This window comes from Homo sapiens, chromosome 2, assembly GCF_000001405.40.
Source record: "Homo sapiens chromosome 2, GRCh38.p14 Primary Assembly".
NCBI classification, from domain to species: Eukaryota; Metazoa; Chordata; class Mammalia; order Primates; family Hominidae; genus Homo; species Homo sapiens.
The window spans coordinates 73,233,692-73,260,174 of NC_000002.12; the positions used below are offsets into that span (position 1 = coordinate 73,233,692).

Genomic DNA, 26,483 nt, shown 5'->3' on the forward strand with positions numbered 1-26,483 from the left:
TCTTGCGCCAGGGGGTCTTCCGCCCAGTGCCACCAACGCTTGCGCGCTCACCGTGGATAGGCGCTGGGGCCGCGGCCTGGCGCACGCCATCCACGAGGAGCCTCTGGCCAGTGCAAAGCCAGAAAACGGGCATTGGGGGCAGCTTCCCACGCTCGTCCCGTTGACACTGACTATGTAACTGTGACACTGGACACCTTGACCTCTCAGCCTCCTTTCTGTCATCAGTAAAATGGCCTTAATAGGACCAACGCAATAGGGTTGTGAGGATTAAATGAGATCGCTCACGTAAAGTGCTTTGGCACCAGCCTATCCCACACTTTGCGTCCCACACTTTTGCCTTTATTGCATTCCTTGGTCTGGCGTCCGGGGATGGAGGAGGGTGGAATTAAGTTAGTAGGTGATGCGGGCCGAGCAAAGACCCTCCGTGCTCTAAGAAGCACGACCGAAATGCGGCGACCCCTCTTTAATGAACGCCCCTCACTAGAGAGTCCCCGAAGCCCAGCCTCAGGTCCTTCTAGCCGCACCGAGTCGGTGGTAACGAACCATAGAGTAGCGGAAGTGGTCCGTTCTCTTCCTCTCCCGGCCCAAGCTTCTGGGTATTTCTATTGCGCGAGGCATTGTGGGTTGCTGGGCGGCCCGGTCTCGGAGAAGAGGGGAGAGTGGCGGGCCGCTGAATAAGCTTCCAAAATGATGGTGAGTGGCGTCTCGCGCATCCGTCGCCATCAGCTGCCATCTGGCCGGTGGCCGGCGCCGCTCGGCCTGGGCTTGCTCTGTAGGACCCTCTTTTGCTTGCCGCCTCTGTCCTCGCCCAGATCCCCAGCTTAGGGGCGACCCCAGCCAGCCGCGGCCTGGCTCGGCCCGAGCACGGCGCTGGAGCCGTTGGCGAGGGCTGCGTGGGGCTTTAGAGGAGTCTCTGGGCTGGCCGGTTGGGGACTACAAGTCCCAGGGTGCTTCGGGCCCGCGAACCCACGTCGGGGACCTCTTTTTTAGCCCCGCATGATCGGGACTTGCGTGAAACGAGTGCAGGTCGGCCGTGGTTACGCGGTCGGCAGCTAGACTTGGAAGCTGGGGCTGCTCTGAGATTTGCGGGCTGTAAAGACGTGTGCTTCTTGGAACCGGCACAGGCACATTGGGGACCTCATATTGTGCCCGCCTAGGGACTCACTATGTTCACTCGCTGACCCTCACCGCAGCGTGCAGAGAAGCAGACGCCTTCCCTAGTACTTTTAATTCATTCACTCATTCGCTCAGTCATTAAATAAACGCGTCTTTAGTGCCTACTGAATGTACCAGGCCCTGGTGGTTGCTGGGGGTTGCAGCCTCTCAGCCAGGAGAACGGGAAAGGTAGATGGAGACACTGTATCGGAGGTGGGAAGACCCAGGCTCGGACTCTGGTGACATAAGAAAGGCTTTTCTAGTTGGCTACCTAACTCTGGGTCTCGTTTTCTTGAAATTTGGGGCGAGGGAGTTGCTGTGAGTCCTGGAGCCACCTAAAGTGCTCCTTGTAGCCCTACTTCCCACACTTCTTTTCTCTGTCTCTCGGAGCTTTAGATACTTTCCGTGGGTCCCAAGCCTCGATGGTATCTCCTGGGTTGTTATTGAGTAGGGCCAGCTTCCGAGGTGGTGTTTGACCCTGACTGAGATACTGCTTTCTGTGCACTTGGCAGTTCACTTATTCATTTTGGCCTGTCCGACTCTATCTTCTGCTCTTTTCCTGCTTCCTGCAGCTTTTCTCTGTCCTGTTAGGGACGCAGACACCTTTTAGGTGTTCTACCAAATGCCCTATGAATCCCGCTTGTACCCAAGGTAGAAGGAAATTAGCATTTAACAGTACTTCCTCTCCCCTTTATGTCTCTAGCATTGCTCATTCTTGAAGTCGTCTTCATCTTCTGTGCAGAGGCAGCATAGTACAGCAGTTGAGAGTAAGGCCTCTGGAGCTACACTGAATGCCTAGGTTTGTAACTTAGCTCTGCCACTTACTAGCTGTGTGACTTTGAGCATGTTATTTAATTTCTGGTTCTCAGTTTGTCAGTGTGCCTAGCAGATAGTAAGCACTCAGCAATGTTAGCTCTTACTCGGCGAGGTGGTTGTTTGCTTCCTTTCATCTCTGAAATCAGTCCATCCCGCTGCCAGGGCTTCCGTAAGAGCTTTGGTTCACATTCACACAGCTAGGGATCAGAACCGCCATTCTCTGCCGTGATAAAACTTCACCAGTGGGCTCTAGATCATCACACTTGGATTTTCCCTGAACTGACCCCTCCTCTGTCAGATTGACGTTTCCCTGCTGTATTGGCTCTTGATATCTCCTCCCCATTTTTGGAATGTGAAACTTCTATCTCCAAGAGTCTTCCTGTCTTCAAATTGGCCCCTGATATTCTAGAATACTTCTGTAATCGAAAGAGAGGTGAAAAGGTCCCCTGAAACCTCAGTCCTGTGATGTTGGTACAGCTTGCATAAAATGTATGTCCTTGCCTTTGTGGCGTTGAGCGCTGTGTGCCTTGGCATAGACACACTTGTTTTGTAAGCCATTAAGCTTAATGATGCTTAGTGAAAGTTTTAAAGTAGGATGAAGAGGAAGATCAGTAAGCTGAAATTCCAAAACCTTCCATTATACCTGTGGCCAATTACTGGAGTCTGCTCTTGTTTCTTTTTCTTTTTTTTTTTTCCCGAGATGGAGTCTTGCTCTGTTGCCCAGGCTGGAGTGCAGTGGCACCATCTTGGCTCACTGCAACCTCCATTCCCAGGTTCAAGCAATTCTCCTGCCTCAGCCTCCCAAGTAGCTGGGATTACAGGCATACGCCACCACGCCTGGCTAATTTTTGTATTTTTAGTAGAGACGGGGTTTCACCGTGTTGACCAGGCTGGTCTCGAACACCTGACCTTGTGATTCACCCACCTTGGACTCCCAAAGTGCTGGGATTACAGGCGTGAGCCACCGCACCCGACCTTGTTTCTTATTTATTAGAGGAATAAAAAAAAGGAGCGAGGTTGAAAGTAACTAAGGGATGGAAACTGGACTTTGCATACAGTGCCTGCTGCTGGGGAACTGTTAGAAGAGGACCTATCCTGCTTGTCTTGGCTTGACTCAATCCAGCTCTGCCACCTTTTCCACCCCATAGATGCTCTCTACCCAGCCTGCTGTTTCTTCAGGGCCTGCAAAGCATAGGGAACCTGGGGAATCTGTGGTTAGCTGCTTCCAAGCTCTTCTTGCATTGTGCTTAAGAACTCTCAGTAAATGTAGTGTTACTGTAGTGCCAGTGCTTTTCTCCCCAAAAGTCAAGAAGCCAGTGCTGTCAAGCACTTACAAGTAGCAGTTGGATTTTCAGCCCCAAAAGCTGCTGAATATTGCTTCATGTGTGGCCAAATCTTGGCACTCTTCAAATTAAGGTTATTTTGGTCCTTGTCTTTGGAAAGCTTGTACTTAAGCTGGATGGTGATAAAAAGTTGCGAGCAAGGGCAAGTGAAGAGAAAGTTATGGGATTCCCCTATTCAGATGCCCTTGTTTATTACTGTAGAGAAAACTTCTTGGAAGAATTGGAGCTCTGAGGAATTGGTGGCCTGGTGGTGAGAAAGTGGTTTTGGTAGAAGATGGCAGAGTGACTATTTTAGATGGGGGTACACTTTGCAGGTTGAGGTGAGAAAAAGTATACACAAGCATTGGGTAAGTTAACCTGTTGAGGTGAAAGAACCTGTTGAAGGTGATAGGAAGTGATTGAGACTCATGTTAGTTTTTGATTTAAAGTGTAAGACTCCATCCGTGGCAGGGGTGGACCAGAGAAGACTTGGGGCTGCCATAAGGAATGATTTAGCAAGACTGGGAGATGGTAGGGCCTTTCAGGACACACATCTTTCCCTTACAGAAGGTGCCAGGGACTGGGCCAGCTGAAGAGCCAGAAAGAATGCTGGGAGTATAGAGAAGCCATTTCTTGCCACCAGACCTGGGACACTCCAGCAAAAGGAAGGAATTTTCCCTTCAGTTGACGCCTGATCCCAAATGTAGGGGTTTACATGACAAGCATTCTTTTTAAAATAAAAAATAAAAGGAGTAATGTATGATTATTTGACAAGCATTTAAAAAAATTTAATGAGGGCCTGGCATGGTGCCTCATGCCTGTAATCCTAGCACTTCAGAAGGCTGAGGCAGGAGGGTTGTTAGAGGCCAGGAGTTGGAGACCAGCCTGGGCAACATTTTTTAAATACAAATTTAAAAAATTAGCCAGGTGTGGTACCTCATGCATTGCGGTCCAGCTACTCAGGAGGCTTGAGCTTATAGTAAGCTATGATCTCACCACTGCACTCCAGCATGGGTGGTGGAGCAAGACCCTGTCTCTTAGAAATATATATTAAAAAATGAATAATATATTAAATTACTCCCACTCTCTTATTCCGTAGAGTTTATTGGGTATTTTTCGTTTTCTTTTTGTAGAGACAGGGTCTTGCCATGTTCCCCAGGCTGGTCTTGAACTCCATGAGCTCAAGTGATCCTCTTTTTTCTACAGTGGTTTTTGTTTTTTATGTAAATCACAGTATGCCATTCCTCTGCTGAAAGCTTCCCAGGGCTTTCCTTTTTAGGAATGAAATCTGAACTCCTCACCATAGTGTGTCTACGAGTGTGTATGTGATCTGGTTCCTGCCTGCCTCTTCAGCTTTATTCCAGTCTTCCTCTTGCTTACTACCCTCCAGCTGCGCTGGCCAAAAGAGTTGAACTTTTTAAGGAATTGACCAGTTAATAAGGAATCAGCCTCATGAGTGGCAAGACTCTGTCTTTGGCAGGAATTCCTCACTCCTCATTGTTAGGTTGGGAAAGCTCTGTGCTTTCCTGTGCCTTCCTTGCTCAGACATCCACGTACCTCTAAGGACTAGGTGATGGCTTTCAAACTTTTTATTGCATTCCACAGTAAGAAATACATTTTTAATCATAGCCTAGTAACAAATTTAACACAATAAAAGTTTTGAAATAGTATTTATCCTTACTACATTCTGTGTCACACACAAAATTAGCCAGAAACACTTGAGAAGACTGGATCTAGTTCGTGGGCTTATCTCTGAAGGCTCAGATTTGAATGTGGAGAGAAAGTAGTCTGGTTTGCTAAGCTGAGAAATTGCTCTCTCTGCTAATAATGGTGGTCACTAGAGCAAAGATATCTGAGCGGGCCCTTTAAAACAAGCAAGTATCCCTGTTTCTCAGTTTCTAAAGCAGGTCTGCAAATGAAGCCCTTACGGGGATAGGGAATGTTCTGGAGACCAATGCAATATAGAAAGAGGAAAACTTCTTTGGGGTATCTGATTGGAAATTAGTCACACAGAAGCTTTATTCAGCCAGCATGAGAGATGGAAACATTGCTGTATGAATTAGATTTGCCATCATTTTTCAAAACAGGGCAAAGGTGCTGTTTGTTTCTCTGCCTGTTTTCCTACACTGCAGCTGAACATCACTGTTACATAAAGCTGACTGCCTAGGCATCTCTAGGACAACACCTCAAGCTCTTGGCATCTTGCATTTTGCATCAGTGTCCCATCTGCTTCTCTAAGATTGAGCTGTAACACAGACAAGTGGATGTTTTGCTGCGGAATGAACACTTAGCAGGGTCTGCCTCTTCCTCCTGTGTTGTGACCCAATTCCTCAGCACAGGGAGTAAGGTCAGAAGTTGAAAAGGCCATGGTCATTCAGCTGGGTACTGGAGAACTCATGATTTTTTCTTTTAGATTAGGTCAGTGCTTCTCAAACCATTTTCCTGTCTAGCATACCTGCAGGGTAGGCTAAATTTGATAGTGTCTCTGGAGGTAGAGGCTGGTTGGGGAATGGATGTGGTAGACAGTTGGGGGAATGTGGTTTAAGAAGACCTCTAGATAATTCTGTTAAGGGAGAGATGGGAGCATTTTCCCCTTTCCCCTGCCAGTCTCATTATAATAGATGATTATTAAAAGCAGTTAATTTCTTTCTTTTCTAGCCCACACCAGTTATCCTATTGAAAGAGGGGACTGATAGCTCCCAAGGCATCCCCCAGCTTGTGAGTAACATCAGTGCCTGCCAGGTGATTGCTGAGGCTGTAAGAACTACCCTGGGTCCCCGTGGCATGGACAAGCTTATTGTAGATGGCAGAGGTAAGTCTACAGAGTTCCTCAGGCCTGTGTGCAGGAAAGGAGGCTCCTGAGGGGGTGTTTGGGACTAGCATAGGTTGGTATCAGAAATCCCACTGCTTTTAAGATCGTTGAAAGATGACTCACTCTGAAGCAGTTCCAATTCTTATATTGTCCTGACTGCTGAGCCCGTGTGGGACTATATGAGAGAACCTAGGCTCAGGAGCCTGTTGCCTCATAGGGAGACGTGGCCTAGAAACATGAAATAGAACCATCTGGAGTTTCCTGTGTTCACTTCCATTGTTATCAAGATGAGAAAATTCCTGTTTATATCTTGGTATATTAATTGATGTGTGAGGGTATCAACTGTGGTAAGAATATCTAAGTGGTTACTTTTATTTAAAAAATCTTTTCTGTATCCAGTTGACCTGTATTAATTGCTCTTCAAGGAAAATTGGGAGTCTGTGGTCTGCAAAAGCTTGTGATTTTAGACCCTTTGTGTACAGAGCTAATTCTGTATAGAAAGATCAGATAGGTATCCTTTCCCTTCAGCCCTGCCGTGATCCCCTCTGCCCCATCCCAGTAAAGTGTAGATGGGTTCTAGGTCCCACTTGAAGACAGCATTTAAGAAAGGGGCTTTAGATTTTTGTTTGTTTCTTTTAAGGCAAAGCAACAATTTCTAATGATGGGGCCACAATTCTGAAACTTCTTGATGTTGTCCATCCTGCAGCAAAGACTTTGGTAGACATTGCCAAATCCCAAGATGCTGAGGTAGGAAAATAGTTGTGTGTTTAAATGGAGGTTGAAACACATGCTTGCTTGCTCCTTAGTTCTCCTCTATTAAATTTTTTTAAGATTTTATATAATTATAATTGTACAAGTAATACATGCTTATAAAAGTATTTAGAATTAACAGCCTTTTAAAATTCATACTATTTCGTTACATGTAGCTTTTCATATCCATTAATACATTGGTGAATGACAACAGTCTTTAGATATAAGTCTACTGCCTGAGATCTTAACAGGTTGTGTGCTGTCATTTGTGTGAGTTGCTAGGTTAAATAATTTGACTTCTCATCTCTTACAAAATGGGGCTGTAAACTAAGACTTCCAATCTGCCTTTCTTTCTTTTTTTTTTTTTTTTAAAGAGATAGGGTCTTACTATGTTTCCCAGGTTGGCCTTGAACTCCGGGGCTCAAGCCTTCTCTCACCTCAGCTTCCTTAGTCGTTGGAACTACTGGCATTCCCCACTACACCAGGCTTTTTTTTTTTTTTTTTTAAACTGATGATAAAACAGACATAATATTTATTCTTAATACCATGTTTAAGTGTATAATTCATGGCATTAACCAGTCTATCTTTTAAAAATAAATTCTAACACTGGAGTATTAATAAATGTGTTGACAGATAGGTTTTGTATTTTAGAGTACTGCAAAATATGTATACTACAGGTATGTCTTGAAGTTACGTTAAAAGGTTTATTAGGAGCCAAGCCTATAAAACAGGTATAGCATATATAAAATTAAAGAGAGAAGAGTCTGGATTTGATTTGTTTTTGTCTTCAACGAGGGAATAATGCCTTTTGGTCCAGAAATCTGCCCACTTAAACCTTCTCTATAGTAACCTTTTTTTTTTTGCCCCTTGAGAATTTCTTACCTTACACAGTGAACATACATGAAGTTAAAAATAAATTTCTGGGCTGAGCATGGTGGCTCATGCTTGTGTCTCATTACTTTAGGAGGCCAAGGTGGGAGGATCCCTTCAGTCCAGGAGTTTGAGATCAGCCTGGGCAATACAGCACGACCCCATCTCTACCGAAATAAATTTCTTCCAGTTTAGAGTTTATCCAATTTTCTTAGAAAGCTCTTTTTCTTTTTCACCCTCATTAAATAGGATTTAGATCCCATCACAGAAAAGCACCATCTAAAAAAGATTAGCAGACTAGTAATCTGCTTATTCCCAGTAGTTTTTTTTTTTTTTCTTTTGAGAGGGGGTTTCATTCTTGTTGCCCAGGCTGGAGTGCAATGGTGTGATCTTGGCTCACTGCAACCTCCGCCTCCTGGGATCAAGCAATTCTCTTGCCTCAGCCTCCCGAGTAGCTGAGATTGCAGGCACCCACCACCACGCCCGGGTAATTTTTGTATTTTTGGTAGAGACGGGGTTTCACCATGTTGGCCAGGCTGGTCTCGAACTCCTGACCTCAGGTGATCAGCCCGCCTCGGCCTCCCCAAGTGCTGGGATTACAGGCATGAGCCACCGTGCCTGGCCTCCTCATAGTTTTTGAAATATAAAGAACTTTGGCTGGTCCTAGGACGTTTGTTTTAGTGTGATTTGACTGAAAGTTACCTTTTTTTTTTTTTAACTCCTGGCCAGATGCAGTGGCTCATGCCTGTAATTCTAGCACTTTGGGAGGCCGAGGTGGGAGGATTGCTTGAGGCCAGGAGTTCAAAACCAGTCTAGACAACATAGGGAGACCCTTTCTCTATTAAAAAAGAAAGGAACTCCTGCAGTACCTTTTGCTTCTTGAGACGGAGTCTCACTCTGTCGCCCAGGCTGGAGTGCTGTGGTGCGATCTTGGCTCACTGCAACCTCTGCCTCCCAGGTTCAAGCAATTCTCCTGCCTCAGCCTCCTGAGTAGCTGGGATTACAGGCGCCCGCCATCACGCCCAGCTAATTTTTGTATTTTTAGTAGAGACAGGGTTTCACCGTGTTGTCCAGGCTGGTCTTGAACTCCTGACCTCAGGTGATCCACCTGCCTCAGCCTCCCAAAGTGCTGAGATTACAGGTGTGAGCCACCGTGCCCAGCCACCTTTTGCTTCTTAAACAATGTTTGTCTCTTGCTTCTTGGTACCATGATTATTTTAAGTATTGTATTACAATAAGCATGACAAGGACTGTTTTATTCATCACAATGCCTTGTACGTAACATAAGTTCTCAGTTCATGTGTGTAATTTTTTACCCTGAGGACATTTGATTGTCCACATCAGCCCTCTTTAGAGAATGGGGCTGTCTGGGGAATTAATTTGGTAGCCCAGGACTGTTTGACATGATGGATATGTAACTACCATTAGCTTCTTTCTACTTATTGCAAAAACCTGTGCTTCCAGAAAAAAGCTTGACATCCATTTAAATAATATTCAGTTTAAATGGGTAGCGTGCCTAAAAATGGAGTTTCAGGGCTTTATTCCCTGAACATCAGAAAACGTGTATTTCCTGTCATCATCTTCCAGGTGGGTGATGGCACCACCTCAGTGACCTTGCTGGCTGCAGAGTTTCTGAAGCAGGTGAAACCCTATGTGGAGGAAGGTTTACACCCCCAGATCATCATTCGAGCTTTCCGCACAGCCACCCAGCTGGTATGGCAGTACTGATTAACCTTCTCTTGGGCCTGGACACCTTCACATTTCTCTTAGGAAGGGGAATTTCTTTTCAGGAGTGTGGAGGGACTGGGGAACAGGGTACTTTGGGCATTTTCTGACATCTCCTTAGTAATCTCAGTTCTACTAATCTGTAGCCATTTGATGAGGTGTATTACTTAATCTCTTTAAGCCTCAGGTTAGAGTCAGCCTGGTAGACTATGATGTAGACATAGTCTTTTAGTAAGGACTAAGAGACTCATGGCATACTACTACTACATGCTATACTCAAGCACCTCATGGTGTATATTGAGACCTAGCTATTATTTGCCCTCTAACCTTCATTTGTGATCTGGGGCAAGTCATTTAATCTTTCTAGGCCTTACTTTCTTTGCTATCTCTAATTTGAGTGGTGACATTAAAATGAAATAATATATGAGGAGTACTTTGGAAAAAAATAAAAAGTTTATATATTTGTATGCATATTTTATATATAACTAATATATAAAGTGCTAGAAGTTGTCGTAGGTGTTTTTAGTAAACCAGGAGGTTTGGCTTAATCTCGTGTCACAGCTGTTTCCACTCATTCGTTGTAGCGTGTTACCTGCAGACCCAGAGCAAAATCTTGGAAGCACCCTGATTCTTCAGAACTGTATACCCACTCTGCATTTCTGACTTGGAATTTTCTGAACTATAGAGTTTTACATTTTTCTGAGCAGTTACAAGACCTAGAAGTGTTTTTTCAGCTGTAGAGTAGAAATGCTTAGGATTTGGGAGTGAACAGACTCAGGACTATTGAGAGATTGAGGTCCACTTCAGCAGTTTGTCTTTAGCATGAGAGACTCATTCAACTTCTGTTCTTGGCAGGCAGTTAACAAGATCAAAGAGATTGCTGTGACCGTGAAGAAGGCAGATAAAGTGTAAGTCTGTAGTGGGTTTTTTTTTTTTTTTTTAAAGAGACGGAGCCTTGCTGTATTGCCCAGGCTAGTCTTGAACTACTGGCTCAAGTGATCTCCCACCTGCGACTCCCAAAGTGCTGGGATTACAGGTGTGAGTCACCGTGTCAGGCCTTTGTCAGAACCTTGACTGACTTCCTGTGGCCAAATTGGATGCAGAAGCATGCTGCAATCCCTCTATGTGCCTGGGGCTGTTTGGCTCCTGCCAGACCCTTGGCTGTGTCCCAGCCCACAGAGCACAAAAGAAGCTGTCGACTGTAGTTTAAAAGCTGCCACATATGAGATCTTTGACTGCAGTCACCATCTGTCACTGATAATCTGCCCTAAAGATACAAAAGGTGAAGTTGGAGAGGGCTGAGTTTAGAGACTGGAAGGGAACTACCTCCACACTGTAGTAGAATCAGATAAGAGGGATTTGGTTTTCAAGACCTGATGCAGATTCTGCCCTTGTGTCCCAGGGAGCAGAGGAAGCTGCTGGAAAAGTGTGCCATGACCGCTCTGAGCTCCAAGCTGATCTCCCAGCAGAAAGCTTTCTTTGCTAAGATGGTGGTGGATGCAGTGATGATGCTCGATGATTTGCTGCAGCTTAAAATGATTGGAATCAAGAAGGTACAGGGTGGAGCCCTCGAGGTAAGCCTGCTGTGGCCTTCCTAGACAGCTCTTGCTTTCATATTGACCCTTCAGACAGCTTCATATGGCAGAGGGGTACTCATTACAGGAATAAAGAGAATGCATGTTAGGCAGGAAGTCAGACTTACATTGTACTTTCCATACTGCCATTAGAGGCTGTTACTAGATGAACTTGGTAACCTCTGTGGATATTATTTGTCAGCAGAGTAGAAAATTGGACTGTATGATTTTCAGAATCTCAGGTTCTCTGTGTCAGTGGGTGGTGGAGGGGTAGTAGGACTAGCTCAAATCATCAATGACCTCCCAATTAATACATCTGAGAGGGATTTTTCAGTTCACTGCTTACTCCTAAGTGATACTGTTAAGCTTGCCCTTCTTTCATTCATTTATCTTGAATAGATGATACATATTTCAAACTGTGAAGGGGCCTAAAGTTAAAAGTGTTTCATGCACTACCCCTGCCCCATATACAGCCACTATTAGTTTGTGTGTATCCTTGCAGAATTACTTTGTGCATATATGAACATGTATGTAAATACTGTTTTTTAAAGACAAAAGATTGCTTATATAGTGTTCTGTAGCTTGCTTTTGTCCATTTAACAACATATTTTAGAAATTGATCCACATTAGCGTGTGTAGCTCTTAACTCAGCACCCTCCAGTAGAGCTTTCTGTAGGGTGGTGGGACTGTTACATATCTGCGCTGTCCAATATGATAGCCCCATCCACACTTGGCTACTGAGCACCTGAAATGCAACTAATGTAACTGAAGAACTGAATCTTAATTTTATTTCCATTTAAATGGCAACATGTAGCTAGTGGCTACTGTCTTGGACAGCACAACTCCTTCTTTTTAACACAGTAGTATCTGTCTGGAAACGTCCTTGGTATCTCCATGCTGCTTTTGGCCTTTTCAGTCTCTGGCCTGCTTTACTTATTACTCTTCGTCAGTGACCTCAACTGAAGCGATTTGGATAGAGGAGGACCAGCTTGAAAGATAGCCTGGCCCTTCTCTTTAAATTTTACCCTCCCAAATTGCATTCCCACTTTGCCATTTCCCCTCCTATTGTGGCACATGTCAGACCAGTGGGCTGAGATTCTCTGTATGTAATAAAGCTGTGAGGAACCTGGAGGTCATCTGAGCCATTTCCCTATCTTCATCATGGCTTGCTGACTTTGTCTTTACTCACTGCTTTAGTAGCGATTTTTCATCTTCTCTTGGGCCTTCCTACTTCCATAAATGGTTGAGATTAGATTGGCATCCACTTCTAATCTAGAAATGGCATCCATTTCTAATCTACATAGATTAGAAATCAGGACTAATAATCTTACCTGGCAAGAGAGCCAGGGACTCTAAGCCACACTTGCGTTTTTCCGAGACTGTCCTACATTCGTTAAATACATACAAACCTGACCCAGAATTCAATAAATAGTGGTAGTGATTATTTACTTGTTACCAGGGTTAACTGGGAATTTTCTGATCCATATCTTTAGTACTCACCTCTCCTCTGAGCCTCATGCTCTTTCTTGTGTCTAACTGCTGTTAAACGCTTTATCTTGTCCTCCACTCCTGTGATAGCATTTTCTGTATTTCTTGTCATAGTTGGTGTCACCACCGTTTATTCAGTCACTCAAACCAGAAATCTGGGATCATCCTTGAAAACCCTTCTGACTCCAGCCTGTCAATTACCATTGTTCCATTTTACCTCGTGATTTCCTAATTATTTATTGAGTCTGTCTCTTTTACTCTTTCTGGTACTATTGCCACCCCTCTTCCAGTCTTGGATCCCCTAAATCCATTGTACTTATTTACTATTTGCAGGGTGAAGTTTCCTACTTTATTCTTCTGCGTAAAGCCTTCTGATATCTACATTCCCTATACAAAGCCAGGCATTAACAAAGCCTGTAAGATCCTTCTAAACTGGCCCCTGCCTACTTCCCCTCTCTCTTCTTCACTGGCTGGTTCTTACCCTCTAAATTCTAGCAACTTCAAATGGCTTTTCATTCTCTGATTCCACAACACTGCCTCCCACCTCTTAGGAGAACCCCTTTTTTCCTTTTTTCTCTTTGACTAATTTCTGCTCATCTGTCATTCAGCTCAGGCATCACTCCCTTTAGGAAGCTGTGGATTTGAATGATGCAGGAACTGGGGACAGATACTCTTCACCCATGGGTTACAGTATTATAGATTAGAATTGTAGATGAGCACTGGCAGAGAAACTAAAGGTTATTGAACTGAATACCCTTTTTTATGGTGTGGGAAATGACTCGGTCATTTAGTAAGGAAAAGATCTGAGATTGGAACCTAAGTCTCACGGTAGTGCTGAGTCAGCCCTGGGTGCAGTGTGCTTTCTATTATGCCCTGCTGTTAAATCCAACCCACAGAGAAGCTCTGTTGCAGAACAAGTGGTAGAAGATCCCTACCTTGAGGGATTGAGGTCTGAGGAGCTGCAGTGATAGCTTAGAAATTATGCAGGGGATTTCTGATTCTTAAGACCTTTTGGCATCATCTTCTGGAGGGAGGAAGCGTCAAGGCTATAGTATCCATGCTGTTGGGGGTGTGGGGGTGGAGGGTGCAGTGCAAATTATGGGTACATGGAGGTGTACAGGAGGATACTTGAGATTTGGGAGCTGGGGCATAGAAGAGGGTAGCATTGCACAGCTTTTGTTTTGCCTTCTTTGTAAACACCTGGCTCCTCTTCTGGCATACTTTTTGGAAGTTTGTACAGCATTATCCATCGGCCAGTGCTGCAGAGGCCAGTCTTAGAGGACAGCCCAGTAGGCCTTTACCATGCTTTGCCTCTGCTAACCAGATGATTTTCCTTATGCTTAAGGGGTGACTGAAATAATATGTTGTGTTATTTAAAAAAAAAAAAAAGGATTTGTCTTCGATTTTATGATAACAGAAAGGCTGTGTTACAGCAGTGAAATAAAGACATGATTAGCTCAGGCTCACAGGAATGGATAAGCACTAGCCAGCAAACAACTAGCTTGATTTTATTTCATGTTAGTACCAAACCATTAAAGTGTTTGTTTTTTTAAAACAGGATTCTCAGCTGGTAGCTGGTGTTGCATTCAAGAAGACTTTCTCTTACGCTGGGTTTGAAATGCAACCCAAAAAGTACCACAATCCCAAGATTGCCCTTTTGAATGTCGAGCTCGAGTTGAAAGCTGAGAAAGACAATGCTGAGATAAGAGTCCACACAGTTGAGGTAGGTGGGTTCACCAGTTGGTGGGGGCATGGAAATGGGCAGCTTTCTGAGCCAGAGCCCTGGGTCTTCATGGCTATTGTGGGCCCCTTTCTCTTCCTGCCCCCCTGAATATTGATGTCTAAGTACTAGGCCCCCTTCTTTCCATACTCTGTGTTCTCCCTGAGTGACCTTGACCTGAGGAAATTTGGATAGGGAACACCTGTTGAAATACGCTGTGGTCCTGGGGAAGGGGATGGCAGGGACTCTCTAGCTACATAGCCTGCCCGGTATTTTGGTTCCTCTTGTTGGTGCAAGTGTGAGTTCCTCCACTTCTAGACTAGACCTAGTGCTGCAGAGACAGGTGTGCTCTCATTGTTGATGTTACCCAGGCTACCTCTGGAGGTAGCCATGTCACCCACCTTTGAGCAGTTCTTGGGGAAGGGGTCTTTTTTTTTTTTCCTTTAAGACGGAGTCTCGCTCTGTTGCCCAGGCTGGAGTGCAGTGGTGCAATCTCGGCTCACTGTAACCTCTGCCTCCTGGGTTCAAGTGATTCCCCTGCCTTAGCCTTCTGAGTAGCTGGGATTACAGGTATGTGCCACCATGCCCAGCTAATTTTTTTTTGTATTTTTAGTAGAGACAGGGTTTCACCATGTTGGCCAGGCTGGTCTTGAACTTCTGACCTCAGGTGATCTACCTGCCTTGGCCTCCCAAAGTTCTGTGATTACAGGCATGAGCCACTGTGCCCGGCCAAAGGGGTCTTATTGGGAACTCCATGAATCCAGCACCTCAGAAGAGTCTAGACCTCAGCCAGTTTAAACTATTTCTCGCATCTGGACAGCACCAGCTGTGGTTCTCAGCCTTGGGGTTACTTTCTGCTTTTGTGTTGGGGAGTTTCAGGTGATTCCTAAGTCATCTCATGGGGTCCTTATTTGCTTGGACTGAGGAGTAGCTATTCTGTTTATCTCTGTTAATTCCCAGATGAATCAGCATGTTTTATTTGGTGGGGGCAGATGGGTATATTTTACCCTACCGTATATGTCAACCTTCACCCCAAAGCATTCTCATCCTTTTCTGGGTCTCTCCAGGATTATCAGGCAATTGTTGATGCTGAGTGGAACATTCTCTATGACAAGTTAGAGAAGATCCATCATTCTGGAGCCAAAGTTGTCTTGTCCAAACTCCCCATTGGGGATGTGGCCACCCAGTACTTTGCTGACAGGGACATGTTCTGTGCTGGCCGAGTACCTGAGGAGGATCTGAAGAGGACAATGATGGTAACCAGATTTTCACAGGCTGCTTCTCGGCCTTTGTGGCCCTGAAGGGTTTTCACTGACCCCTGGTATAACAGAGTGTACTGTCAGGTTGGCGTGTGAATTGAGCCCTGTTTTTTTTTTTTAACTCTTTTTTTTCCAGGACACATTCCATTTCCATGTGTGTGTGCCCAGTAGCACAAACTACTTTAGTCTAACCAAAACAAGTCCAGAAATCTGGTTTGTGAGAGAACCTAGCAGTAATGCTATGATTAGCTGGACAAACTCAAATATTGATTCTTCCAGCCAGATTTTTTCCCTTTCATGAGCATCCCACAAAAGATACTTTTAGGTTTAAAGTACTCCTGAGTTCAGTTGCTGGACCCAGTGCCACCCTAGTTTAGGGGAGGGAGTATAAGCTGAATTGAATGGGTCCCTATCTCCTTTTAACTTCTTCTGTTTGCCTTTGATGTGTTTTAGTTCTATTTTGTTTTTTTTTTGCTCTTTCAGAGAGGGGGAAGGGTCGCCTGGAAGTCAAGGGAAAGGGCGGGTAATGTAGAGGCTCTGGGGGCATGCGTGGGAATTGGCTTTGAGACGAGGTGGCAGGAAGCTGCCTGGCCTCGGGAACCTTCACTGCTAGATCTTGCCTTCCTTGCTCCCTAGGCCTGTGGAGGCTCAATCCAGACCAGTGTGAATGCTCTGTCAGCAGATGTGCTGGGTCGATGCCAGGTGTTTGAAGAGACCCAGATTGGAGGCGAGAGGTGAGCCGTGGGCCCAGGCCGAGCTCACAAACCTGCCTGGGTCTGGTCTTCTGCCATCTTTTGGCTGTGGTATACAGCTTTTACAAAGTCTCACCTTTGTGTACAAAGTGGTATACAGCTTTTACAGAGTCTCACCTTTGAGCCATAAAGAGCTCAGATAATATACAGGATTACAGGAAGATCTAAAAGCCTTGACTCCACAATCTTTTATGCCCTAGTGGTACAGCTGCAGACCTTTCCAAGAAAATGTCTATAAGGTTGGGATTGGGTAACCTGAGTGAAGAATGTAAGAGCAGCTGCTGAGTGTTGGGGGGGCTGGCAGTGAGGACAATACAGTAGGATGGTGGCAGACAAGAGTTCATGTGTGTACTGTTTAATCCTGGGCATAGGTACAATTTTTTTACTGGCTGCCCCAAGGCCAAGACATGCACCTTCATTCTCCGTGGCGGCGCCGAGCAGTTTATGGAGGAGACAGAGCGGTCCCTGCATGATGCCATCATGATCGTCAGGAGGGCCATCAAGGTACTGGGCTGATATCCTCCTGCTTGCACAGCCTACTCTCTCCTATCTCCCTAGCTGATCAGACCTTGGATTTGTGTGGTGATTCCTTCTCTATATAACCTGCCCTTTCCTGGGTGGTGTGGTGAGCCCTGATTTGCCCCACAAATGGTAGAGAAACTGAGCCTCAGTTTCTCAAAAATAGGTCATCCTGCCTTGAAAGCTAAGACTTGTTCTTTTAGCCGGGCGTGGTAGCTCACACCTGTAATCCCAGCACTTTGGAAGGCCGAGATGGGAGGGTTGCATAAGACCAAGAGTTTGACACCAGCCTGGGCAACATAGCGAGATCCTGTCTCTACAAAAATAAAAAAATTAGCCAGGAATGGTGGCATGTGCCTGTAGTCAGTCCCAGCTACTCGGGAGGCTGAGGTGGAAAGATGCCTTGAGCCCAGGAGTTGGAGGTTACAGTGAGCTATGATCACACCACTGCACTCCAGCCTGGGCAACAGAGCAAGCAGAAGAAAAAGACTTCGTTTTGTTAGCAAACTGGAGCTAATGTAGTCAGATATTCCAGTAATTGTGCCAGTGTCCTTGAGCTGCAGGTGACCTTGAAAATAGTCAGAAACCATAAGGTTCACCAGGTTGAAGTTGGGATGTTCTAGATAGGGGCTGTGTCTGGGCGTTTGGGGCTTGGGATGGAGGAAGGAATGAAGAACCACTCTTTCTGGGCTGAAGGGACCTACTGAGTGGCCCAGCATGGAAGCTTGGACCAGGGGCCCTCTTACATTGAGAGGTGGTCTGATCTCTGCAGAATGATTCAGTGGTGGCTGGTGGCGGGGCCATTGAGATGGAACTCTCCAAGTACCTGCGGGATTACTCAAGGACTATTCCAGGAAAACAGCAGCTGTTGATTGGGGCATATGCCAAGGCCTTGGAGATTATCCCACGCCAGCTGTGTGACAATGCTGGCTTTGATGCCACAAACATTCTCAACAAGCTGCGGGCTCGGCATGCCCAGGTGGGTCCTTTCTCTCCCCAGGGTTCAGGGTTTGGGCGGGTGGGGCTAGATTCTGAATGTGAGCTGTGCTTACTCAAGCTGTGCACGCCTGGCCCAGGAGATAGGCTGCAACTCCCCCCAGCCTGTCTGCCTGACCAACTCCCTCCTCTGAGGGCAGAAGGAAAGCCATGGTGCTAGCACAGGAGATCCAGGGTTTCTTCATTGCTTCTACCAAGAGTATGATCGTGGCCAGGTGCGGTGGCTCACGCCTGTAATCCCAACATTCGGGAGGCCGAGGTGGGCGGATCATGAGGTCAGGAGTTCGAGACCAGCCTGGCCAACATAGTGAAACCCTATGTCTACTAAAAATACAAAAAATTAGCCAGGCGTGGTGGTGGGCACCTGTAATCCCAGCTACTCAGGAGGCTGAGGCAGGAGAATTGCTTGAACCCAGGAGGCAGAGCTTGCAGTGAGCAGAGATCGTGCCGCTGCACTCCAGCCCGGGTGGTAGTGTGAGACTCCATCTCAAAAAAAAAAAAAGAGTATGATTGCTTCTTATGGTACCACAGGAGGAACCTTGCATCCACCTTCCTGGAAGCACATACTGACCACATGGAGTGGGCTTACTGGTGTGGTGAAGCTCTCCAGAGCCCTACAAGTGTGACCCTGGGCTAGTTACTTCAACCTCTCTGAGAGTTTAATTTCTCCATTTGTTAAATAGATAGAGGTTTGTTAAGTGCTTAGCACCCAGTGAATGACCCTGCTTCTGGCTTGTATTAGGACTTTTGCTTAAAGTCACTTTACCTCTGTGTCTCACTTGCCTCATCTGTAAAATCGGGCTATTTGAAGCAATGAGATGAAAGATGGGATAGTATTTTTGTTATTCCTGTTTATCTTGAGAACTCATTGTTTGATATATATATATATATATATATATATAGTCCTCAGGTGACCTGAGGATGGGGCCGCCCCAAAACACAACAGCTTGCCTGGGAGAAGATCCCAGAGGTCTTGTGTGGTATGTCCAGGGCTAAGGGGAGGAGTTGGCGGGAGTAGGGGTGTTTCCAGGTTCCTGGCATGCTCATAGGAAGATGCAGTATTCTTCAGCGAAATGCCACCAAGTTCAGAGAGTCTGCGGGTTCCTAGCAGTGTCTTTTGGAGTACCAGTTTACAAGAGGAAAGTTGAAAGTAGTTCCATATTACCTCCTTTCTTTTCCTACTCTTTTAGGGGGGTACATGGTATGGAGTAGACATCAACAACGAGGACATTGCTGACAACTTTGAAGCTTTCGTGTGGGAGCCAGCTATGGTGCGGATCAATGCGCTGACAGCAGCCTCTGAGGCTGCGTGCCTGATCGTGTCTGTAGATGAAACCATCAAGAACCCCCGCTCGACTGTGGATGCTCCCACAGCAGCAGGCCGGGGCCGTGGTCGTGGCCGCCCCCACTGAGAGGCACCCCACCCATCACATGGCTGGCTGGCTGCTGGGTGCACTTACCCTCCTTGGCTTGGTTACTTCATTTTACAAGGAAGGGGTAGTAATTGGCCCACTCTCTTCTTACTGGAGGCTATTTAAATAAAATGTAAGACTTCAGATAACTTTGTAAATTATTTTGGCATGGTACTCATAAATGTCTGGCTGTAGCTCAGAATTTTAGCTTTACATGCACTTGTCCAACAGGGAGACAAGAGCATCCTGGGGTGAGCTCCACTAGAGTGGCCCGTCTGGAAGTTTCACTGTGGTTGCATTCTTTGTTCCAGAAGTGGCTGGACAACACGCAGTTGCTTTCTTCTGGCATCATCTTATTTAGCCCTGGCCTAGCCAGACACTGCTCTCAGGGTTTCTCTGGTTTGAGTAAATGGGTTACATTACCTTGTCTGCCCCTTCTATCTCCATATTCTTTTGGTTTAGTCTTTTGTTCCCTCTTACTCAAGACTGTGAGAAGGGTGTTTTAGGGAGGGCTTATGCTCTCTAAACTCTAGTGATCCCTTGGAAGTCTACTAAGGAGACGACTGAAAGCACCCACCTAGTCTTTTCAGTTCAGCCCCCAGTGATCTTGGTCCTTCTGCTTTCTTGTGACCAATGGGAGTTTGGAATGGCTGGCACAGATGAGCTGGAAATCCAGCAGTGTCTAACATCCTCCTGATTTACACTGGTCCTGATAGCTGGCCTGCACCCTGCTGTAGTTGGTCGTTGTTAAAAGCTGGAGGTAAATGATGATGTCATTGTCAGCCATTGAGACTTGCTAGCTAAAACTGGGAAGTGATTTTTAAAAAAAATTCTCTGAACCCAGCCACTCCTGGTTAGATGGACTCTAAAGCACAGAGGATGGCAGGCAGGTCCAGGCTTTGGAGTCTGGCATTCCTCCTAACTTGATGGTCTTTAGGTAGACTAATTTTTCTGAGCCTCTGCTATTCTACCTGTATGACAGGGTAAGAGTAGCTGGCTCAAAGAGTAGTGAGACTTAAATGTTTATTTTTATGTTAGAGACACAGTTTAAGCCTAAAAACACTTATTCTTTTTTCTGATTTTAAATATTTCAGGACCTGAGGAATCAAGTCAGGGGCAGAAGGACATTTTGTAAAATGAGGAAGTCAAGGCCAGGCCATGATGTCAACCTGGTCTCCCGCAGTCAAAGCCTGATTGGCTGGCCAGAGCCTCCTGAGTAGGCAGTCAAGCCAGGGAGGGGCTGGGCAGTGCCTGCTGCCCTGTTGTACTGGTTTTGTCCTTGAAGGTAGTCTCTCCTAGCTGAGAGTCAGAAATGATGTATCTCAAGGCGTTTCCTCTGGATACACACACTGAAAGCAGGGTTGAGCGGTGGCAGGACAGTCACCCTAGGTGGCTTTTCTGCAGTCCTGAGGCAAGTTTTTGTTGTTTCTGAGACAGGGCCTCACTCAGTTAACTAAGCTGGAGTGTGCAGTGGTGTGATCTCAGCTCACTGTAACCTCCACTTCCCTGGCTCGATATCCTCCCACCTCAGCCTCCCAAGGAGCTGGCAATACAGGCACATGCCGAGCTAATTTTTCAGTTTTTCTTGCAGAGACAGGGTTTCACTATGTTGCCCAGACTAGTCTCGAATTCCTGGGCTCAAGTGATTCTCCCGCCCCAGCCTCCCAAAGTGCTAGGATTACAGATATGAGCAACTGTGCCCGCTGGCAAGTCTTGTTATACTTCATTCCCCTGGGTTACCTGCCTCTCTGCACTTGAGCTGCAGAAAGACCATGATAACACAGATGATAAGTGTGGCCACATACCATTTACCTCTCTGGGGCAGATAGACCAGTTTCACCATCTTTTTTATTGGATACAGAGCCATAAATTCTCTGATGCCCATGTGAGTCCTTTTAAATACATACACTCAGGTACATTCAGCAAAGGGCATCTTACGGGTGACATGGAGCAAAGTGCTGGGATGGCGATGCCTGGGTGGGGCAGAGAAGTGTGGCCAGGGAAGGCCCCCTGGGGGCTGGAGGTACAGGCACCACTTCAGAAACAAAAATAAAACCAAAAATTGCTCTCCACCCCTCTGCCTGTGCTTGGGGCTGGGGAAGCTACCCTCTCACTCAGGCCCATTATAGCCTAGCTGTGTAGGAAGGTAGGGCCTAAGGGCCAGTTATGGAGGTTGCCCACCAGTGGTGCCCACTAGAACCAAGCCTGCTGGCATCAGCCACAAAGCAAGCCTGGGTCACCTCAGGCCTCTGCCCTGGATACAAGACCCTTGTCAGGGCAGAGCTGAGGCTGGCAAGCCCAAGGCCAAGCCTCCCTTGGGCCATGCTGGCAGTGGCAGAGGAGGCTTGGCCTCACGGTGGGGAGCCTGCCTGATTGTCAGGGCAGCCTTGGGACTGGCTGAGGTCCCAAGGGTTTGGGGAGGGAGTCGTTGCCTTAGCTGGCCCTGGTATTCTGATCTTTACCCAATCCTAAACCTTATCCTCAGGCAAGGGCTGCAGATGAACACACTTGTCCAGGAATACATACATACACACAATACACAGCAATATATACAGAAATGCAGGCCGGGCACAAGGCTGGGTGAGAAAGCATGGCCACTGGGTTGGAGAGAAGGGCCAGGCCCCCAGGGGAAGGAAGTTACACTCATCAGGGACTGACAGGCTGGGACAGGTCCCATGGGTTCGAGTTAACTTCTCTGGGCATTTGGGCCTTACACCCACTCACCATCTCCTGTTTTTACCCCAAGTCCAACAGGAACTGGGACTTTGGCACCAATAGTCACTCTGGGAAGGCCTCCTTCAACTTAGCGCCTTAGAGGGATTGGGGCCCGGGTGACTCCCCACTGGTGGCCCCAAAGATAAGAGACCAGGAGTGGGGAAATAGGCAGGACCCAAAGGCAAGGGATGGAGCCAAACCTTGGAGTAGCAGGCCTTGGGAAGGAGGACTTTTTTTTGTTTTTCTCTTTTGAGGCAATTCCTGAGGGGCTGGCTCAGACTCGAGTGTCACAGAACCAAGAAAACAGGAGCTGCCTTGATCCTTAGGTGGTCTCTCCTGGCTGGGGAAAGGCTGTGGTGCTGGGCTGGGCAGGCCACCCACTCTTTATTCCTGCAGGGATGCATATAAGTGCACCTTCATTTCCTGCCGGTGCTGTGGGGAAGCAGCCTGAATAAAGCATGAAGTACTTAAGCCAAGTACACCAACCTCCCAGGTAGGTACTGGGGCCAGACTGGATGGCAGGGGGTGGTAGAAACACCAAGTGGCCACCCCCACTGGGCCTCTACACATACCTGGGGCCCCTGGAGCAGGGCTGCTTGCTCTCAGATATTCCTTTCTTGCATCTTACTGGGTATGAGATGTGAAGGGATCCCGTTTGGGTGGGTAAAGATGGATGAAGTGCTTCTAGGGATAGCCAGGCCCTCTGTCCCTGTTCCCATCCTCAGCCCTAGCTGTATGGTCACCAAAAAAATCCATGCATAGAGCCTCCCAGCAAGCAAAAGCTCCCTACTCAGCAGCAGAGCTCATCCCCGAGGAGAGAACAAAAGAAGAGCGTCAAGGGGCTGGTGGGGCAGGGGCTGCAAAGCTGCCAGTGCTTGGGCATGCATGAAGGCTAGGGGGCACAAGTCTGTCAGCCCCAGGGTGCGTGTGCAATGGAATACTCTGACCTCTCATTCTTGCTGCAAAGGATTGGGCCTGCTCACACACATCCTTCACACACAGCCAGAACAGGGTGGAGGACTGAGGGGCTTTCCTGGAAATAGCCAAACCCATGGGAAGTGGACGTCCCCCCAGGCAGAAGGGTATCTTGTTCACCCCTCTGCCTCTAGTGCAGGTGGTGCTCAGTACTGTTGCACTAATGAATGAATGAGTGAGTGAAACTACAACTAGCATCTGTCCTTTCAGCACCACCTTTCTCCCACCCTAGCTCACTACCCATACACCCCAACCTCCTTTCTAGGGCTAATGCCAGGCATTCTAGTGTGTACCACCCAGAGAGAAGTTGCCTAGAGCCTTGTATTCAGGGATGGAAGGTCCCTGGGGCAGAGAAAATCCTTCAGTTGGGCAGGCTCAAGCCAAGCAGGGCATCCCTTTGTGCTTTGTCTAGGAGACAGGGAAGGCAGCACCTCTGGTTCTGGGGTCACAGGGAGCAGGAGCTACAGGGTGCAGTTGGCAAGGCAGGACCAAGAAATCCAAGGCAGCCAGGCCCTTACTGGACCTCCACCTCCCTTCCAGGCCTCTGGAGGAGAGGAAAGAAAGCTGTGCTGCTTTTTCCTGACCCCTGAGGACAGGGCTGGTGCAGGGAGAAGCCAATGGAGCCAGCTGCTCTGGGGTAGGAGGCAAGGGGTGCCACACACAGCCAAGGCTTTGTGCAGGACTGGGCAGGGAGTTGCCAGCATGACACCCTTGGTATTTTAGGTTTTCAAAGGGCAGGGACAGAATGAGCCACAGGAGGAAAAGTCAGCAATGATAGCAAAAGCTGGGACAGAGCTAGGGAGTGACGCCATGGGAGCTGGGTGTGCTGCTGCGCCCATGGGATCCCAGCTCTGGAGGACTCTTTACAAGGTAACCTGGGGGAGGGTCTTCATGTCCAAGCCAGGTTGTGTTAGGAAGTTGGGTCCCTGGGAAGGACTGGGTAACGAGGGGACCCCATCCCCCGCCAGGACCAGCAGCCTAATGGCTAGGGCTGGGAGCTGATCCTATCTAGGAGAGAAAGAAACCCTAAGATAGATCTAGTTTAGATGTTCGAAAGAACTTTCCAAATGAAAGTTGGCAGGACCCCCGGCCTCTGAGCTACTGTGGGAGTTCTGAGAGGAGGAACTGGGGAGACCTCAGCCTTTGGAGCCTTGGTTCTGAGACCTGATCCTTTGGGGACTGCAAAGGCCAGTGAAAAGTGAATCCTGTGGCTTCTAAGCCAAGTGGCTCCAGCTCAGGTCCAGCACTTCCCCTAGGCAGAAGACCCCAATGCAGCCCTCAGTCCACGGGGCCCGTGGAGACCAAGGAAGGGGGAGTGAGTCTATTGAGGATGCTCTTCCTCTTCCTTGGCCCCATGGGTCTGGCTCCCTGCCAAGGCCACATCTTCAAGCAAGCTAATTAGACAAGGAAGCAAAGCAAGCCACCCTCCTCCTGGCTTCCTCCACGGCCTCAGCACAGAGGGCGGCCCTGTGCCTCCCTCCCAGACAGCCTTGGTGACCCGAAGGCCATCGGGTTCCTGCCCAAGCACCTGGATTAGAAGGAAATTCCTTAAGGACAGGAACTACTTCTCACTGTGACAGGGCTGCCTGGGGCTGGGACCTTGACCCTCTGGAGGGTCCCTCAGGAATGAATGTAGGTATAGAAACGTGCGCCTTTCAGCTTTGAATTTAGCTCTGGTGTGCGGTGGGGTATGAGGTTGGGAGGAGGGGTCCTGTCTTACAGCAATAAATAAGTTTTCTCCCCCTGGCAATCCCCCACCTTGGAAGGGTGGTCTCATCCTGGGGAGAAGTTCTGGGTGACTGTTTCCTTTCCAAACCCACCCCCACTACCCCACTGTACTGCTGCCCCCAGCTTTTGGCTGACCACGTGCCCAGGCCCCTAGGTCTGGCTGTGGTACCCCCAGGAAATGTGGATCCACAGCCTGGGCAGGCTGTCTGAAGGGGTGCCCCCAGAAGGCTGCAGCAAGGTTGAGGAGAAGAGCCCTCCTTGCCAAGTCTGAGCTGCCTTGTGGAGCCCCCATTGGCTTGGGGCCCCAGATGCTCCTGACCAGGAGGCTGGGCCTCAGGAAGGAGAGGCCAGCCAGAACAGCTGAGGAGCCACTGGGTGGTTATTGCAGATCCTCCAGGTGATGACACCAGGCGCTGGTGGTGACAGCTCCTCACTGGCTGTGCCAGAGGCTACTCCAGCCGGGGTAGGGTGGGGGTCGGAGGGCAGCTTCTGTCCAAGCCCCTGTACTGGGGAGGCAGTGCCCTGGGTCAGGCCTGTTGCTCTGCTGCTCCAGGAGGAGGACAGGAGACTTGACAGTCCCCCTCCAGAAGCCAGGGATAACACTCGGCCTCCAAAGGTCTAGTCCAAACCAGGGTCCCTCTGAGGTCCAAAGAGAGTGCCCTGGTGTGGGGCTGGCAGGGGCCCTGCCGCCCCCTACCCGGGTTAGCAGCCGCCTTCCACCTTGATGTGCAGAATCTTAGAGAAGCCGGGCCTCCGTCGCAGAGCCTGCGGACCGAACCCTGGGTTAGTTCTCCCTCCGTGCCAGGCAGGTGGGGCCCTCCTGCCACACTCACCCAGGTCACCAGCCCCAGTCTAGGGATGCCACTTGGGGTCTTGGACAGCCTCAGAGCTGACCCCTCACCTGGAGTTTTGTCACCATGTCCTCAAACAGCTTCTGGGCCTCAGGGCTGCTGGGCTCTTTGAAATAATCCGCAATCCCAATCTGGACCACAATGGACTTGAGGTTCCGGCAGATGCCTGAGAAAAGGTGAGCAAAGTAGGGGCGTGTTTGGCCTGGGCTGTGGAGCTGCCTCCTCTCCTCTCACTAATTAATGAAATCAGACAATCAGGTGCCAGCTACCGGGAACACGACAGAGGAGAGCAGACTCATGCCACCTGGGGGCTGGCGACCGGATGCGGGGAGAGGTAGATGGGGCTGAGGCACAGGAGAGGCTGCATTGGCCTCTGGGAGGGTGAGTGGGCAGCCACCAGCTGTCCAAAGCCTCTAGGAACTTCCCTGACACAGGGGGCAGCTATACCATGGTCTGGGCATTTGGGGATGAATGGCAAGGAACAGAGTGGCTGAGGTGGGGCTCGTGGATCCAGGCTGAAGCACAAAGGAGGGGGAGGTGGGGCAAATACTTGGGGACAGAGGGCTTCAGGGACTGGATATGTCGTGAAGTCGGGGGAGGTAGAGGAAGATCAGGCGACTGAGAAGGGCCTGGAGGTCATGATTCTGGAGGCTGAGCAGTTAGTTCTGGTGGTAAAGTCCAGGGTATCCCATGTGGCTGAAGGGGGAGGAAGGTCTTGGAAAGAGGGTCAAGGCACCTTGGCGCAGTTGGCATGGGGTCCTCTCAGGAGCCAAAGGGTCCTGGCTGGTGGTCTCCTTGGGCAGGAGCAGCCCACACTGGGTGCCAGGTCCTCAGTGCAGGTGGAGTAGTGACTGAGAGTGGAGTGGGTGGTTTGAGAAAGGTGTGGAAGCCAAGGAGGTATGATCTGGAGTCCAGGGAGAGAGGAGTCTTCACCCTGAGAACTGTCCTTGGGGGGGCTTCCATATATCATCTCATTTAATCCTCTCACCCATCCTAGAAAGTCAGCTTAGAAGATGGGAATACAGGACTCAGAGAGGTATAGTA

The 26,483-nt window shown here is 48.2% G+C and overlaps 2 protein-coding genes across 13 annotated transcripts in view, besides 3 other annotated features; one reads left to right on the top strand and one right to left on the bottom strand.

Annotated features, from left to right (window-relative positions):
- Positions 92–623: an enhancer, noted in NCBI's record as "NANOG-H3K27ac-H3K4me1 hESC enhancer chr2:73460911-73461442 (GRCh37/hg19 assembly coordinates)". NCBI's record gives its function as "activates a minimal SCP1, AML or CMV promoter by ChIP-STARR-seq in primed H9 embryonic stem cells {active_cell/tissue: H9 hESC(primed)}" and the evidence as "EXISTENCE:reporter gene assay evidence [ECO:0000049][PMID:30033119]".
- Positions 265–314: an enhancer, noted in NCBI's record as "active region_16027". NCBI's record gives its function as "activates an Ori minimal core promoter by ATAC-STARR-seq in GM12878 lymphoblastoid cells {active_cell/tissue: GM12878}" and the evidence as "EXISTENCE:reporter gene assay evidence [ECO:0000049][PMID:35858748]".
- Positions 435–504: an enhancer, noted in NCBI's record as "active region_16028". NCBI's record gives its function as "activates an Ori minimal core promoter by ATAC-STARR-seq in GM12878 lymphoblastoid cells {active_cell/tissue: GM12878}" and the evidence as "EXISTENCE:reporter gene assay evidence [ECO:0000049][PMID:35858748]".
- Positions 617–19,314, top strand: CCT7 (chaperonin containing TCP1 subunit 7). 6 transcript variants are annotated; one of them, NM_001166285.2, is made up of 13 exons: positions 617–693; positions 1,859–1,954; positions 5,952–6,105; positions 6,746–6,852; positions 9,313–9,438; positions 10,306–10,358; positions 10,853–11,024; positions 14,071–14,235; positions 15,300–15,488; positions 16,128–16,225; positions 16,615–16,747; positions 17,535–17,741; positions 18,949–19,314. In NM_001166285.2, exons 3-13 carry the CDS (start codon positions 6,078–6,080, stop codon positions 19,168–19,170), a joined length of 1,500 nt encoding a protein of 499 aa, NP_001159757.1. In that variant the 5' UTR covers positions 617–693; positions 1,859–1,954; positions 5,952–6,077; the 3' UTR covers positions 19,171–19,314. The 6 variants fall into 6 exon arrangements, 4 of the variants coding, with proteins under 4 accessions (NP_001159757.1, NP_006420.1, NP_001159756.1 ...); NM_006429.4 differs by lacking the exon at positions 1,859–1,954; NR_029402.2 differs by lacking the exons at positions 1,859–1,954; positions 10,306–10,358.
- FBXO41 (F-box protein 41) overlaps positions 20,999–26,483 on the bottom strand; it is a 29,789-nt gene continuing 24,304 nt past the window's right edge. For all 7 annotated transcript variants that reach the window (NM_001371389.2, XM_047443458.1, XM_047443459.1 and 4 more), the window contains 2 exons: positions 25,490–25,605; positions 20,999–25,353 (listed from right to left, as the gene is read on the bottom strand). In NM_001371389.2, coding sequence (NP_001358318.1) covers positions 25,291–25,353; positions 25,490–25,605 — 179 coding nt within the window. In that variant the 3' untranslated portion in view covers positions 20,999–25,290. The remainder of the gene's footprint in view (positions 25,354–25,489; positions 25,606–26,483) is intronic.

Coding starts and splice junctions, on each gene's coding strand:
- CCT7 (NM_006429.4), top strand. Junction 6,106..6,745: donor GCTTATTGTAGATGGCAGAG/GTAAGTCTACAG, acceptor GTTTCTTTTAAG/GCAAAGCAACAATTTCTAAT. Junction 11,025..14,070: donor TACAGGGTGGAGCCCTCGAG/GTAAGCCTGCTG, acceptor TTTTTAAAACAG/GATTCTCAGCTGGTAGCTGG.